Raw genomic sequence first — 16773 nt, forward strand, 5'->3', positions numbered from 1 at the left:
CAGAGAATTAGAAATAACAATCCTAATGTTTACACAGAACCAAAAAACAGCCTAAATAGCCAAAGCAACCCTAAGTAAAATTAACAAAGCCAGACGCATCACATTTCCTAATTTCAAATTATACTACAAGGCTATAGTAACTAAAACAGCAGAGTACTTGTACAAAAATAGACACATAGATCAATGGAACAAAACAGAGAACCCAGAAATAAAGCTGCATACCTATAGCCATCTGATTTTCTACAAAATCTACAACAATAAACAATGAGGAGAGAACACTCTATTCAACACATGGTATTGGGAAAATTGCCTAGCCACATGAAGAAGAATAAAACTGGACCCCTATCTCTCACTGTTTACAATAATTAACACAAGATTGTTTGAAGACTTAAACATAAGATGTGAAACTACAAAGGTCCTAGAAGAAAACCTAGGCAAAACTCTTCTGGACATTGATCTATACAAAGAATTTATGACTAAGATCCCAAAAGCAAATGCAACAAAAACAAAAGTAGACAAATTGGACTTAATTAATTTCCTGCACAGCCAAATAAATAATCAATAGAGTAAAAAGATGACCTACAGAATGGGATAAAATATTTGCAAACTATGCCTCTGACAAAAGACTAATATCGAGATCTGCAAGGTACTCAAACAACTCAACAGGTAAACAAACAAACAAACAAACCTATTAAAAGGTGGGCAAAGGATATGAACACGCATTTTACAAAAGAAGACATACAAGCAGCCAACAAACATGGAAAAATGCTCAATATCACTAATCATCAGAAAAATGCAAATTAAAACCACAATGAAATATGATTTTATATCAGTCAGGAGGGCTTTTATTAAAAAGTTAGAAAATAACAGATGTTGGCATGGATGTGGGAGAAAACAGGTACACTTATACACTGTTAATGGGAATGTAAATTAGTACAACCTTTATGAAAAACCATATGAAGATTTCTCAAAGAACTAATAATCAAAAAAATTTGACCCAGCAATCCCACTAATAGGTATGTACCTAAAGGAAAATAAATCATTATATAAAAAGGACACCTGCACTTGTATGTCTATCACAGCACTGTTCACAATAGCAAAGTCATGGAATCAATCTAAGTGTCCATCAATGGTTAATTGGATAAAGAAAATAGGTATATAGACACCATGGAATACTATGCAGCCATAAGAAAGAATAAAATCATTATCTTTGCAGCAACATGGATGGAGGTGGAGATTATTATCCTATGTGAAATAACTCAGAAAATCAAATATCCCATGTTCTCACTTATAAGTGGGAGCTACACAATGGATACACATGGACATACAGATGGAAATAATAGACACCGAGGACTCCAAAAGGGGAGAAGTTAAAAGGGAATTGAGGGTTGAAAAATTACCTACTGGTCACTGTTTGGTTGATGGGTACATTAGAAATCCAAACCCACCATTATGCAATACATCCACGGAAAAAACCCACAAATGCACCCCCAGATCTAAATTATTTTTTTAAGAAAAAGAAAAATAAATATGTATGTAAATATTCCACTGATTTGTTATTTAGATTAAAAGCAATAAATCTTTAATATCCTGTGTTGGTCATATGAAGTTATTCAATAACAAGCTTTCTACTTAACTTACATCCCAGTCAATATTTGCAAAAAACAGATGTCTTTTGATTTCTTCAACTCCTTCTGATCCTATAAAAAAAAGAAATGATATTTTATTTTTATGATTTTTTTTAGTCTTGCTCCCTGGCTTCCAGACTGCTATCTGTAAACAGGAATACACATATTTCATACATTCCTTGAAAAGAAAAATACATGATTTCTTATCTGGCATTTTATTAGCTGGTCCTTTCATTTTACTGTGATAAAAAATAACTAACATTCATATTGAACTACAATAAAGTGTCTCCCAAATCAAATCAAATAGTATTAAACATAATACTTAAACTTAAATACATATTTTTTCATTCCTAATTTATCTTATGACCTCATATTTATATGCCAAATTGAAAGGTACAAAGGAATAAAGTGACACTGAAATTTTCACACAAGGGCATAAATAATAGGATCGCATCTGGATACAGGGAAAGGCTACCAGAAAGGGGTCAAAAAAGTAGTTACAGAAACATAATATTTACTTTGAAGAATATTGGGGGGGGGCAAAATATCTATCTTCAAATATATAAAAGATTACCTGTACAAGGGAGAATCTGTTTATTATTTCAAAAGAAGTAACCCATAATATATACATAATAATAGGTTGAACAGAAGCTTTCATTAACTAGACTACTTCAGTTTTAAATCATGGACATAACAGAGTTTACTTTGTCTGAAATGCACACACAAAATGAAAAATTCTACGTATAGAAGTAATGTGCTCAAATCAAACAAGAAAACATAAAGATTTAATTATCCTCCCAAAACATGCAGTTACTTCTATAAAAGCTAAGAAAATAAGCAATACCCAATCTATTTGCTGGATTCCTTTTGAATAACATCCTTAGAAGACTTTGTGCTTCAGCACTAAGAAATTGAGGCATTCCAAGTTTTGCTCTGAAACAGAGGATTTTAGAAAGTTTCACTTAAATTTAGCCACATTTTTGATTTGAAAAATCTCAAAAAGAACTTTTAAAAGTGCTTTTACAAGGGTACAGTCCTGTATATGGTAGAAGGGAACAAGACAGTGAGAAAAAGGTACTCTTGTATTATTTTAAAACCGCAATAATTTTTTCAAAACTGAAAGCAAGAGATTTTTTTCCCAAAAGAAAAACATACTGTTTACACTTACTTTAATATCATATTCATGGTCTCATTTCTGTCTTTACCTTGAAATGGCAGAGTACCAGTAAGCATTTCAAACTAAAACAAACAAACAAAACACACCACACAATTAGAACACCTTAGAATATATAATAAGATTCTCTAGAAAAAAACTGAGACTTCTATATAATCATCAAATTGTAAGATCTACATGATAGTAGATCAAAATGGGACCAGAAAACTAGGTCACTTAAAGAAATATACTTCTGGTATCCCACTCTCTCTCTCTATATATATAGCTCAACTGATGGTGACCTGTAGCAGATGAAACCAACCAATTCTTCCTCAGTTCTAATTCGGCTATGTTCTCAAAGCCAAAGCAATTTGAAAATACACACAATGCATTTTCTGTTAAAACAAATATACTCTTTTGAAGAGAATGTTTAATAATAAAGGAAAAGGAAAAATAAGCAGAAAAGCATTTCAAATTCATACATGCCCAAGAAAGATTTAACCATTCTCATTCCCTCCACTGCCCCCAAAACAGGAGCCAAAAAAGAAGTAGAAGCAGCAGAACACACCACCACCACCACCCCCTGCCACACACACACATGCCAATAGCTTTAAAAAAGAAACATACACCTTAGTTGTACACAGAAGAAGGAAAACATTTTCTCAAAGAGAACTGACTGCAATGTGACTAACTAGAACATTAAATAATGGTATAAAAAAAGACTACCTCTAAAAATCATTACGGTACATTAAAGAGAAGTTTTTGTATCACCAGTATTTAAATCTCAAACTTAGATTCAATAATGGCTTTGGCCTTAGTCTTCTACTCATTTATCTGAACTCACAATCTAAGTGAGCTTATACATTCAAGTCTCTTCTGTATCTTAATGTCTCCCAAAATCTGCTGTTCAAGGCTTAATCTCTCTCAAACTCCAGCTTTCCTTCCCAAATCTTAAGTAATGGTACGCCACCAAAGACTGGAGGAGTAGAGGTGAGAACTTCAGGGAGAGAATGAAGGAAGGATCGTATATAGGACTCACATCTTCCCTCAAAGAAACTACACGTTGGGTAGTTAATATATACGTATTAAGGTCTCCAAATGATTCTGATTCTCTCTCCACTACCCCTCCTAGTTTATCACCACCCAGTGGTGAGTCATTAACCTACAGTAACCTATGCTACATGTTAAAAATTATTTTTTCCCACTTCCAAAACCAGCTGTCCTCTTCAGCTATCTCTTCTATTAACTTACCATTCTTTGAACCCCCTAAAGCTCACAAATTTTATAGGCATTTTTATCTTTGACAATTCATTTCTTTTTGATCTGTGTCATCTAATTTGCTACCAAGGTTAACAACTGCTTACTTTGAAATCTCTATAATCTTACAATTGTCTTTAAAGATCTCTTTTGTCTTCCTATTTCTAGTTTCTTCCATTACAATCCACTTACAAGGCTAATCCTCCTAAAATACAATTTTCTCTAATTTCCAGCCTGTTTAAGAATCTAAAAGTTTCCTCCTACCCAGAGAATCATGTATAAATGCTTATAGGTTTATAGCTTCACTTCCTCCACCTTTGCCCTCTTTCTCCACTTCTCTAGTCAAACTGGTTCTCCAAGTCTTTGCTAATATGATCACAATAACTCTCCTTCTTGACACACAACTATTTAAATTTTATCCATCCTTCAGGGCTTAATTTAAGTTCCAACTCTTTCAGTTTGCCTACATCAGCTTACATTAAATCTTCCCTGAACTCCTAAGGTACTTCTTGAGAGTTTATTTAGCTACTCCAATTGAAAAAGACCAAATATTTTACTTAGAATCAGTTCCTACCCCACAGGCCTCCTAATATGTCAGGCTTATAAGAGACACTTAACATGCTGATGTGTCATTTGATGTGCTACTCAGTGATAAATGGACAAAATGGATCAGACCTCCAAAGCAAATTATATCTAATTCAACAGCTATTTATCTATCATCCTACTGACTACTGCAAATTCTATGCTTAATCTCATACCAAATTAGTCAGTCTGTATTAAGCATCTACTGAAATGCTCACTATGCTTGATACTATGGGAGATGAAAAGTAGTATAAGACATGATTCCTCTGCTCAACAGGTTTATAACCTTTCTAGGGAATACATGGAACAATCTGACAATAAGACACTATATGGTAAGGTGCTAAGTTCTGTAACATTCAATTAAAATACCATGTAACTGATAAACTCATCATTCTGAAATATAGAATCTGACAGACCTTTTCATAAGTATCAAATATGAATAGTTTATAATAACAATGCTGTCATTTACCTTTTTACTAGCAACTTTAAAATAAATCAGAACACCAAAATCTTAATTTTTATTGTGTAACAGCTAGCCAATCACAAGGTTTTTGGTGTTAATTATAAATTATCAGAACCCCTTTCTGACCTGCTAAATCCCAAAATTTGAATTAAAATAAAATTATAAGTAATATCAATCACAGGTTGGCATAATTAAAACAAATAATGCTACTTACCATAAGAACACCATATGACCACCAATCAGCACTCTGGGAATGGCCTCTCCTATTTACTACTTCAGGAGCCATATACTCTACTGTACCACAAAATGAGTAAGCCTTCTTTTCTTGATCTACTGACTCCTTGCTGAGTCCAAAATCTATAATAACAGTATTACCAAAAAATGTGTCTGAAAAACTTCAGAAAATAGAAAACGTCAAAAGAAACAAAATAATGTATTAAACATTACAATTATTTATGGATGGCCTACAGTTACTCTTAAGAAAGTTCCTGTGAGATCAATAAGAGAAAGCAGCCTGTATTTCATAACAATACTCTTTAAGGTCATTTAAAGATCCTTCCATGAAATCTCATCCTCAAAATACATGCTTTCAGGTCTACACTAGAATATAGTGCAAAAAATGTGAGGGAACAACAATTAAATCAAAGCTGCCGTATTGATCTAAGTTTTAAAATAGACTAAGACAAAACAGAAATAGTAACTTATACTTTTTAAAATATTAAAAAAGCAAATTTTGCTTTGGCTTTGGTGAGCTTCCATTTTTGTTCAAAGCCTTCAAGGAGCTAAAGATGTCAATAATAAAAATCAATCTTATTTCTTGGTATTACTAATGAACAACTGGAAGACGAAATTTAAAAAGTACCATTTATAATACCACCAAAAATATCAAACATGAAATCTACAGGTATAAATATACATCTACAGCTATAAAATATATATGCAAGAATTATATGCTGAAAACTGGAAACACTGATGAAAGAAATCAAAGTAGACCTAAATAAATGGGAAGTTATACCATGTTCATGAATTGGACGATTTAATGTTGTTAAGGTATCAATTCTCCCCAAACTGATATACCAATTCAATGAAACTTCAATAAAATCCCAGCAAAATTTCTTTTGTAGAAATCAATAAGCTGATTCTACAATTTGTATAAAAAAGTCAAGAAAATAAAATAGTCCAAACAATTTTGAAAAGGAAGAAAACAGTTGGACTTACACTACACCTGACTTCAACACTTACTATAAAGCTACGGTAATCAAGATAGTGGGGTACCGGAAAAAGGTTGGACATATATATCAATGGAACAGAAGAGTGTACAATGATAGACTGACATATACAGTTAATTCTGCTATAATGCTTCTTTTGAAAATGCAAATTTGTTCTAATGCAATTGATATCTTAGCAAACAATCTAAGTATAACGTGAATTTCACACTGGCTTATCAGTGATTTTGTCTGCAGGAAGCGTTACATGAGCACAGAAAACTGAATCAGCTGAGCTTAGGAAAGTAGAAATACATAAAATGCACATATGCACACACCTCAAACATCTACCAGCTAATTCACTGTATTTGTTATGAGCCACTCCTGTCCACCTCTAGCGTTAAAATTTTCCTTCCAATTCCAGATAATCTAACTTCCACTACATCATTATAACTTACAAACTGTAACTTTTCTGACACCCACTTCCACAAGCAAACTTCGGGTCTTTTTCAAGGTAAGGAACTGTATTTATTGCAGTCTTTATGTATTTCTTAATCATTTAGAACATACAGAACAATGCTACCCTTTTTACTTTCTTTTCTTTTGTGTATCACTGATCAAACATTTTAAAGTTATGCCCCTTGCCTCCTTTTCCCCATAAGTTCTGTGGTTTATATACTATGGATTTATGCATACTGCAGTGATTTAGATCACATATGTCACACTGTAACAGAACTGGCTCTATATTGTCACTTAATTTCTTGCAAAGGTGCAAAAGCAATTCCATGGAGAAAAAGCAGTCTTTTCAACAAATGGTACCAGAACAAGTAGGATAGAGATATAGAAAAATTCATCCTCATACCATAAATAATTAACTCAAAATGGATCGTAAACCATGTAAAACCTAAAACTATAAAATTTACAAAAAAGAAAATAGAAATTCTTTGTGATCTTGGGTTAGACAAGGATTTCTTAGATACATCAAAAGTATAATCCATAAAAGAAAAATAATGACAAACTGGACATCATCAAAATAAACAAAACTGTTCTTCAGAAAATGGTATTAAGAAAATGAAAAAGAAGCTACAGGAGGAAACGATGGAGCAAGATGGCAAAATAGAAGCCTATACCATTTGTAGCTTCTGCAGGAACACCAAAGTTTAACAACTCTCTGCACACAGAAAAGCACCATCACAAGAATCAAAAATCGGGTGAGTAATCACAGTACTTAGTTTTAACTTCATATTGCTGAAAGAGGCACTGAAGAGGGTAGAAGAGACAGTCATGAATCACTGATGACACCCCTTCCCCATGCCCCAGCAGCAGCCATGCAGTGAGGAGAGTCTTTGCAGATAGGGGAGGGAAAGCTCAGCAACTGGGGGGCTTTACATTGAATTCAGTGCTGCCCTGTTACAGCAGACAGCAAAGTCATGCTGGCCTCAGCCAGCACCCACATATGGAGGAAGCTTTTGTTATTTTTTTTAAGTTTTTTTTTTTTTTTTTTTTTTTTTTGAGACAGAGTCTTGCTCACTGCAACCTCCGCCTCTCGGGTTCAAGTGATTCTCCTGCCTCAGCCTCCTGAGTAGCTAGGATTACAGGCGCCCGCCACCACGGGCAGCTAATTTTTTTCGTGCTTTTAGTAGAGGCAGGGTTTCACCATGTTGGTCAGGCTGGTCTCGAACTCCTGACCTCAGATGATCCATCCACCTCGGTCTCCCAAAGTGCTGGGTTTATAGGCATGAGCCACTGCACCCGGCCAGAGGAAGCTTTTGGACAAGAACTAGACAGAAGGGAATTGCCTGTCCCAGTGGTCTAAATTTGAACTCCTCAGCAAGCCTCGCCATCTTGGGCCAAAGTGCTCTGGGGTCCTAGGTAAACTTAAAAGGCAGTCTAAGATGCAAACCCTGCAATTCCTAGGCAACTACTAGTGTTGAACTGGAATTAGAGCCAGTGGACTAGGGTGGCATGTGACCTAGGGAGATACCAGCCAGGGTGGCTAAGGGAGTACTTGTGCCACCATTCCCCCAACCCCAGACAGCACAGCAACAAAAGTGACTCCTTCCTTCTGCTTAAGGAGGAAGGAACAAAAAGTAAAGAGGACTTTGTCTTGCATCTTAGATATCAGCTCAGCCATAGTAGGACAGGACACTGGGCAGAGTTGTGAGGTTCCCATTCCAGGCCCTAGCTCATGGATGGTATTTCTAGACACATCCTGGGCCAAAAGGAAACCCACTGTCTTGAAGAGAAGAACCCAGTCCTGGCAGGATTCATTGCCTGCTGATTAACGAGCTCTTGGGCCATGAACAACCACCAGCAGCAATATACCCAGGTAGTACACCATGGGCCTTGGGCTCTGAGAAATGCTGGCTTCAGGTGTGATCCAACAAATTGAGAGCTGTGGTAGCTACAGAAAAAGATTCCTTCTGTTTGAGAAAAGCAGACAGAAAGGTAATGCACCTTAGGTACCAGCTCAGCCACAGTGGGGTAGGCCAATAAGCAGGCTCTTGAGGTCTCTTGAGTCTGAGCCTAGGCTCTTGGATATAATTTCTGGATCTGCCCTGGGGCATATGGGAGCCCAGTGCTCTGAAGAACGAGTTCCCAGCCTGGCAGCATTCACCACTTGTTGACTGAAGAGCCACTGGGCTTTAAGTGAACATTGCCAGTGGCCTGGCAGAACCCCTGCTATGGGCTGCTGGTGCTGATGGCTATAGGGAGAGGCCCTTCTCCCTGTGGAGAGGGGAGGGAAGTGCAACAAAGATTCTGGATTATGGTCTGAGTGCCAGCTTAGCTGCAGTAGAATAGAACTTCAGGTAAATTTCTAAGGTATTTGACTCTAATCCTTGGCTCCCAGACAGCATGCCTGGTCCTGCCCGGGGCCTGGGGGAACTCATTGCCCTGAAAGGAAGGACACAAACCTGTTTGGCCTTAACATCTGCTGACTGTAGAGCACTATGGCCTTGAGTGAAAATAGGTTTTACCCAGGTAGTAGTTATAGTGAGCCAAGGTCGAGACCCAGTGTTGTGCTGGCTTCCGGTTTGATTCAATGCAGTCTGTGTGGTGGCGGCCATAGGGGTGATTGCATAACCACATCCCCATTCCAGGTGGCTCAGCACAGAGATAGACTCCATTTGTTTGGGAGAAAATAATGGAAAAGAATGAGGTTCTCTGACTGGTAATACAGAGAATTCTTCCAGAATTTATCCAAGGCCACCAATGGGGTACCTCTAGGAGCCTATAAAACCACAGCATTATTGGGCTTGGGGTTCAACTCCCAGCGAATACCTGTACAGTCTTCTCAAGAAGGACAGGTACAAACAAGCCCGGAGTCCAAGACCAAATTAAAAATCTAACTCATCAATGCCCATACACTCCCAAGCATCTACAAGCAGCAAGACCATCCAGGAAAACATGACCTCACCAAATGAACTAAATAAGGAACCAGGAACCAATTCTGGAGAAACAGATAGATATGCAGGCTTTCAGATAGATAATTCAAAATAGCTCTGTTGAGGAAACTCAACGAAACTAAAGATAACGAAGAGAAGGAATTTATAATTCTATCAGATAACTTTAATAAAGAGATTAAAATAATTAAAAAGAATCAAGTAGAAATTCTAGAGTTGAAAAATGCAACTTGACATATCAAAGAATGCATGACAGTCTCTTAATAGAAGAACTGATCAAGGAGTGAAAATAATTTGTGAGCTTGAAGACAAGCTATTTGAAAATACACAGAGGAGACAAAATTAAAAAAAAAAAAGAATAAAGCATGGCTACAAGATCTAGAAAACAGCCAAAGAGGGGCAAGTCTAAGAGCTACTGGACTTGAATAGAAAGTAGACAGAGAAAGACGGATAAGAAGTGTATTCAAAGGGATAATATCAGAGAACTCCCCAAACCTAGAGAAAGAAATAAACATACAAGTGCAAGAAAGTTATAGAACATCCAACAGATTTAAACCAAAGAAGACTACCTCAAGGCATTTAATAATCAAACTCCAAAAGTTCATTGATAAAGTATCCTAAAAGCAGCAAGAGAAAATAAACAAATGACATAATGGAGCCCCAATACACCTGGCAGCATACTTTTCAGTGGAAACTTTACAGGTTAGGAGAGAGTGGCATGACATATTTAAAGTGCTGAAAAAAAATTACTTTATACTATTATAACTGGCAAAACATATTTTTCATGCATGATGGAGAAATAAAGATCTTCCCAGACAAACAATAACTGAGAGATTTCATCAACACCAGACCTGTCTTATAAGAAATGCTAAAGGGAGTTCTTCAATCTGAAAGAAAAGTATGTAATAAGCAAGAAGAAATCATCTGAAAGTACAAAACTCACTATAATAGTAAGCATAAAGAAAAATGCAGGGAATATTATTATGCTGTCATTGTGGGGTATAAATTCCTCTTAAGTAGAAAGACTAAATGATGAACCAATCAAATAATAACTACAAAAACTTTTCAAAACATAGTACAATAAGACATAAAGAGAAGCAATGAAAACTTGAAAAGTGGGGGGATGAATTCAAAGTGTAGTGTTTTTATCAGGTTTTTTTGCATGTTTGTTTGGACAATCAGTGTTAAGTTTTCATCAGTTTAAAATAAGAGGTATTAGATCATATTGGCAAGCCTCATGGTATTCTCAAACCGAAAAACATACAACAGATATGCAAAAAATAAAGAGAAAAAGGCTGGGTGTGGTGGATCATGCCTGTAATCACAGCACTTTGGGAGGCCGAGGCGGGCAGATCACAAGTTCAAGAGATTGAGACCATCCTGGCTAACACGGTGAAACCTGTCTCTACTAAAAATACCAAAAAATTAGCCAGGTGTGGTGGCAGGTGCCTGTAGTCCCAGCTACTTGGGAGGCTGAGGCAGGAGAATGGCGTGAACCCGGGAGGTGGAGCTTGCAGTGAGCCAAGATTGCACCACTTCACTCCAGCCTGGGCGACAGAGCAAGACTCCATCTCAAAAAATACATAAATAAATAAATAAAGAGAAAGAAACTAAATCACAGCACCACAGAAAATCACCTTCAGTAAAAGGAGGGCAGGGAGGAAGAAAACAAGGAAGAGAAGACCAGAAAACAACTAAAAAAATGGCATGAGTAAGTCCCGATTTATTAATAATAACATTTTATGTAAATGGACTAAACAATCAAAATACACAGACTGGATGAACCATGAAAAAACAAGAAACAATGATCTGTTGCCTACAGGAAACACACTTCACCCATAAAGATACATACAGACTGAAAATAAAGAAATGGGAAAAGATATTCCATGCCAATGGAAACCACAAAGGAGCAGGAGTAGTTATATCATACAAAATAGATTTGAAGGCAAAAATTATAAGAAGGGAAATGGAGGTCATTATATAATGATAAAGGGGTCAATCCTGCAAGAAGATAGAAAAATTATAAATATCTGTGGACCCAAAACTGGAGCAACCATATATACAGAGCAAATATTATTAGAGATAAAGAGGGATATAGAACTCAATACAGTAACAGCCGGTGACTTCAACACCCCACTTTCAGCATTGGACAGATCTCCCAGACAGAAAACTCAACAATGAAATATCGAACTTAATCTGCACCATAGAAAAAGTGGACCTAATAGATACTTACAGAACATTTCATCCAAAGGCTGCAGAATACACATTCTTCTCCTCAGCACATGGATCATTCTCAAGAATAGACCATATGTTAGATCACAAAACAAGTCTTAATATATTCAAAAATCTGAAATAATATCAAGCATCTTCTGTGATCACAACTGAATACAACTAGACGTCAACAACAAGAGGAATTTTGTAAACTATATAAACACATAGAAATAAAACAATATGTTCCTGAATGACCAGAGAGTCAATAAAAAAATTAAGAAAGAAATTTAAAAATTTCTTGAAATTAATGATAATAGAAATACAACATAAAAAATCCTATGGAATACAGTGAAAGCAGTACTAAGATGGAAATTTATAGCTGAAAGTGCTTACATCAAAAAAAAATTCAAATAACTTTATGATGTATCTTAAAGAACTAGAGAAGCAAGTGAATTGAACCCAAATTAGTCGGAGAAAAGAAGTAATAAATATCAGAGCAGAAATAAATGAATTTTAAATGAGGAAAATAATATAAAAGACCAATGAAATAAAAACTTGCTTTTTGAAAAAACAAACAAAATTGATAAACCATTAGCCAGACTATCAAAGAAAAACAGGGAGAAGACCCCAATAATTAAAATTAGAGATGAAAAAGGAAATATTACGACTGATACCACAGAAATTCAAAGGGTCATTAGTGGCTACTATGAGCAACTACATGCCAATAAATGGGAAAATCTAGAGAAAATGGACAAATTCCTTGTCACGTAAAACCTACCAAGAAATCCAAAACCTGAAGAGGCCAATAACAATTAGTAAGATCAACATCATAATAAAAAGTCTCCCAGTAATGAACTGCCCAGGGCCTGATGGCTTCAGTGCTACACTCCTCCAAACATTTAAAGAAGAATTAATACCAATCCTGTTCATAATATTCCAAAAAATAGAGCAGGAGGGAATACTCCCAAAGTCATTCTATGAGGCAAGTATTACCCTGATACCCAAACCAGACAAAGATAAGACAACAAAAAACTACAGGCCAATATCTCTGATGAATAATAATGCAAAAATCCTCAACAAGATACTAGCAAATTGAATTCAATAATACATTAAAAAGACTGTTCATCATGACCAAGTGAGATTTGTCCCAGGTATGCAAGGATGGTTCACCATATGCAAATCACTTAATATGACACATCATACCAACAAAAAGAAGGACAAAAACCACATGATGATTTCAACTGATGTTGAAAAAGCACCCAATGAAACTCAACATCTCTTCATGATAAAAAAAAAAACCCTCAGAAAATTGGGTATAGAAGGAACATGCTTCAACATAATCAAAGCCATATATGACACACCCACAGTTAGTATCATACTGAATTGGGAAAAACTGTCATCCTTTCCCCTGAGACCTGGAACACAATGAGGATGCCTGCTTTCACTACTGTTAATCAACATAGTACTGCAAGTCCTAACCAGAGCAATCAGACAAGAGAAAGAAAAAGGGCATCCAAGTGAGAAAGGAAGAAGTCAAATTATCCTTTTTTACTGATGGTATTATCTTACATTTGGAAAAACCTAAAGACTCCTCCAAGAAACTATTAGAACTGACAAACTCAGCAAAGTTGCAGGATACAAAATGAACACACAAAAATCAGTAGCATTTCTACAGGCCGACAGAGAACAATCTGAAAATGAAATCCAGAAAGTGATGCCACTTACAATAGCTAAAAATAAAATCAAATACATAGTAATTAACCAAGAAGTAAAATATCTCTACAATGAAACTACAAAACACTGATAAAAAGAAATTAAAGACATGTAAAAAGGAATGTACTAAAATGAGGCAAGAAATTGAGAAAGACACACAAAAAATGGAAAGATATTCCAAGTTCATGAATTGAAAGAGTCAATATTGTTAAAATTGTCCATACTACCCAAAGCAATCTACAGATTAAACACAATACCTTTCAAAGTAGAATGAGATTCTACACAGAAATAGAAAAAAAAGTCCTAAAATTTATATGGATCCACAAAATACCCAGTATAGATAAAGCTACCTACACAAAAAGAACAAAACTGGAGGAATCACATTATCTAACTTCAAATTATACTACAAAGCTATAGTAACATGGTACTGTCATAAAAACAGAAACATAGAACAGGGAACAGAATAGAGAACCCAGAGATAAATCCATGTATCTACAGTAAATTCCTTTTTGACAAGGTGCCAAGAACATACATTGGGTAAAGGACGGTGTGTTCAATAAATGGTGCTAGGAAAACTGGATATGCATATACAGATGAATGAAACTACATCTCTAGCTCTTGCTATATACAAAAATAAAAACAAAATGGATTAAAAATTTACATCTGAGACCTTGAACAATAAAACTACTACAAGAAAACATTGGATAAACTTGCCAGCATATTGGACTGGGCAAAGATTTCTTAAGTAATAGCCCACAAGCACAGGTGATCAAAGCAAATATGGACAAACTGGATCACATCAAGTTAAAAAGCTTCTGCACGGCAAAGGAAACAATCAATAACATGAAGAGACAATTCACAGAATAAGGGAAAATATTTGCAAACTGCCCATCTGACAAGGGATTAGTAACAAGAATACATAAGGAGCTCAAACAACTCTACAGGAAAAAGTCTAATAATCCAATTAAAAAATGAGCACAAGATCTGAATAAAAAATCCTCAAAAGAAAGCATACAAATGGCAAACAGGCATATGAAAAGGTGCTCAACATCATTGATCACCAGAGAAATGCAAATCAAAACTACAATGAGATATAATTTCTCCCTAAAATGAGGCCTTTATTCAAAAGTCAGGCAATAAAAAAATGCTGCCAAGGATGGAGAGAAAAAGGAAACCTCATACGCTGTTGGTGAGAATGTAAATCAGCACAACCACTATGGAGAACAGTTTGGAGGTTCCTCAAAAAAAACTAAAAACAGAGCTACCATATGATCCATTAATCCCACTGCTGGGTACAAACCTAAAAGAAAGGAAATCAGTACAATGAAGAGATATCTGTACTCCCATGTTTGCTGCAGCACTGTTTTTAATAACCAAGATAAGAAAGCAATCTAAATGCCCATTGACAGACAAATGGATAAAGAAAATGTGGCACTTATACACAACAGAGTACTATTCATCCATAAAAAAGAGTAAGAACCTGTCATCTGCATTGTGAGTGGAACTGGAGGTCACTGTGTTAACTGAAATAAGCCAGGCACAGAAAAATAAACTTATGTTCTCACTTATTTATGGGAGATGAAAATTAAAATAATTGAACTCATGGAAATAGAGTAGAAGGATGGTTACTAGTGGCTGGGAAGGGTACGGGGGAAGGGACTTAGGGGATGAGGGATGGATAATGGGTGCAAAAAATAGTTAGAATAAATAAGACTTAATATTAGCTAGCACAACAGGGTGAGTATAGTCAAAAATAATTTAATTATACATTTTTAAATAACTAAATGCATATGATTGGATTGTTTGTAATATAAAGGATAAATGCTTGAGGTGATGTATATACCCCATTTACCCTGATGTGATTATTAGGCATTGCATGCCTGTATCAAAATATCTCATACAACACATAAATATATACACGTATGTACCCACAAAATTTAAATTTAAATTTTAAAAAATATAAAACATTCTAGGCTGAAAACCAAACAAACAATCCAATTTTTTAATGGGCAAAAGATCTGAATAGACACTTCTCAAAGAAATAAATATATGAAAATGTGCTTAGTGTCATTAGTTATTAGAAAAATACAAAATAAAACCATGATAATTCTACCTAATGCCTATTAGAATAGCTAAAATAAAAAATACTAACAATACAAAATGCTAGTGAGGATACAGATCCACTGGACATTGTGGGTGGGTATACAAAATATTACAACCACTTTGGAAATCAGTTTGAAGTTTTCTCACTTAGTTAAATATACTCAACATATGATCAACTAATCTCACTCCTTATGTATTTACTTAACTGAAATAAAAATTTATGGTAAAAAGAAAACCTATACATGAAGTTTTACAGTGGCTTTATTCATCATTGCCCAAAGCAGGAAATAACTCAAATGCCTCCTCATTGAGGAATGGATAAACAAATCATGGTACCACCATAAAATGAAACACTACTTAGCAATTTAAAAAAACACTCACTGATACAGCCAACAATATGGATGAATCTCAAATGCCCTATGCTAATTAAATGAAGCCAGTCTCAAAAGGCTGTATACTGTATGCCTCTGTTCATAATTACATTATGGAAAAAGCATATATACAGGAACAGAAAGCAGACTGGTAGTTGGCTTGGGGTAAAGGGAGGACTGACTTATAAGGGGAGAATTTGGGGGAGGAGGGTTATGGAACTGTTTCATATTTTTATTTTGGTGATAGTTACAAGGCTGTACGCATTTGTCAAAACTTACAGAACTATACATACAACAAAAGTGATTTTTAAAAATTAAACTTTATATTTTGAGATGATTGCAGATTCGCATGCTGTTACATGAAAAACTACAGGGATCCTGTTTATCCAGTGTTTCCCATGGTAAAATCTTGCAAAACTATAGTACTATAACCACAGCCAGGACACTGACATTGATGCAGTCAAGACACGGGATAGTCCCAACACCAAAAGACATCAGAAGGATGAGTTTTAATATATGTAAAGTATACTTTCATTTTAAAAATAAAAAAGTTTATAAGCCCTATATTGCTTGTTTACAATAAAATATCAACATTAACACTTAATTTGAGGTCCCCTCAAAACTGATTTTCTAACTATGCTCAACATTTTCATTTAAAAAAATCACTTATTCTTAGATAATAG

General features: G+C 35.3%; 1 protein-coding gene across 10 annotated transcripts in view; it reads right to left on the reverse strand.

Annotated features, from left to right (window-relative positions):
• RPS6KA6 (ribosomal protein S6 kinase A6) overlaps positions 1 to 16773 on the reverse strand; it is a 130154-nt gene that overhangs the window by 56242 nt on the left and 57139 nt on the right. For all 10 annotated transcript variants that reach the window (XM_047441997.1, XM_011530919.3, XM_017029425.2 and 7 more), the window contains 4 exons: positions 5298 to 5440; positions 2797 to 2867; positions 2473 to 2561; positions 1642 to 1700 (listed from right to left, as the gene is read on the reverse strand). In XM_047441997.1, the coding sequence (XP_047297953.1) occupies positions 1642 to 1700; positions 2473 to 2561; positions 2797 to 2867; positions 5298 to 5440 (362 nt within the window). The remainder of the gene's footprint in view (positions 1 to 1641; positions 1701 to 2472; positions 2562 to 2796; positions 2868 to 5297; positions 5441 to 16773) is intronic.

Source organism: Homo sapiens, chromosome X (genome assembly GCF_000001405.40).
Source record: "Homo sapiens chromosome X, GRCh38.p14 Primary Assembly".
NCBI classification, from domain to species: Eukaryota; Metazoa; Chordata; class Mammalia; order Primates; family Hominidae; genus Homo; species Homo sapiens.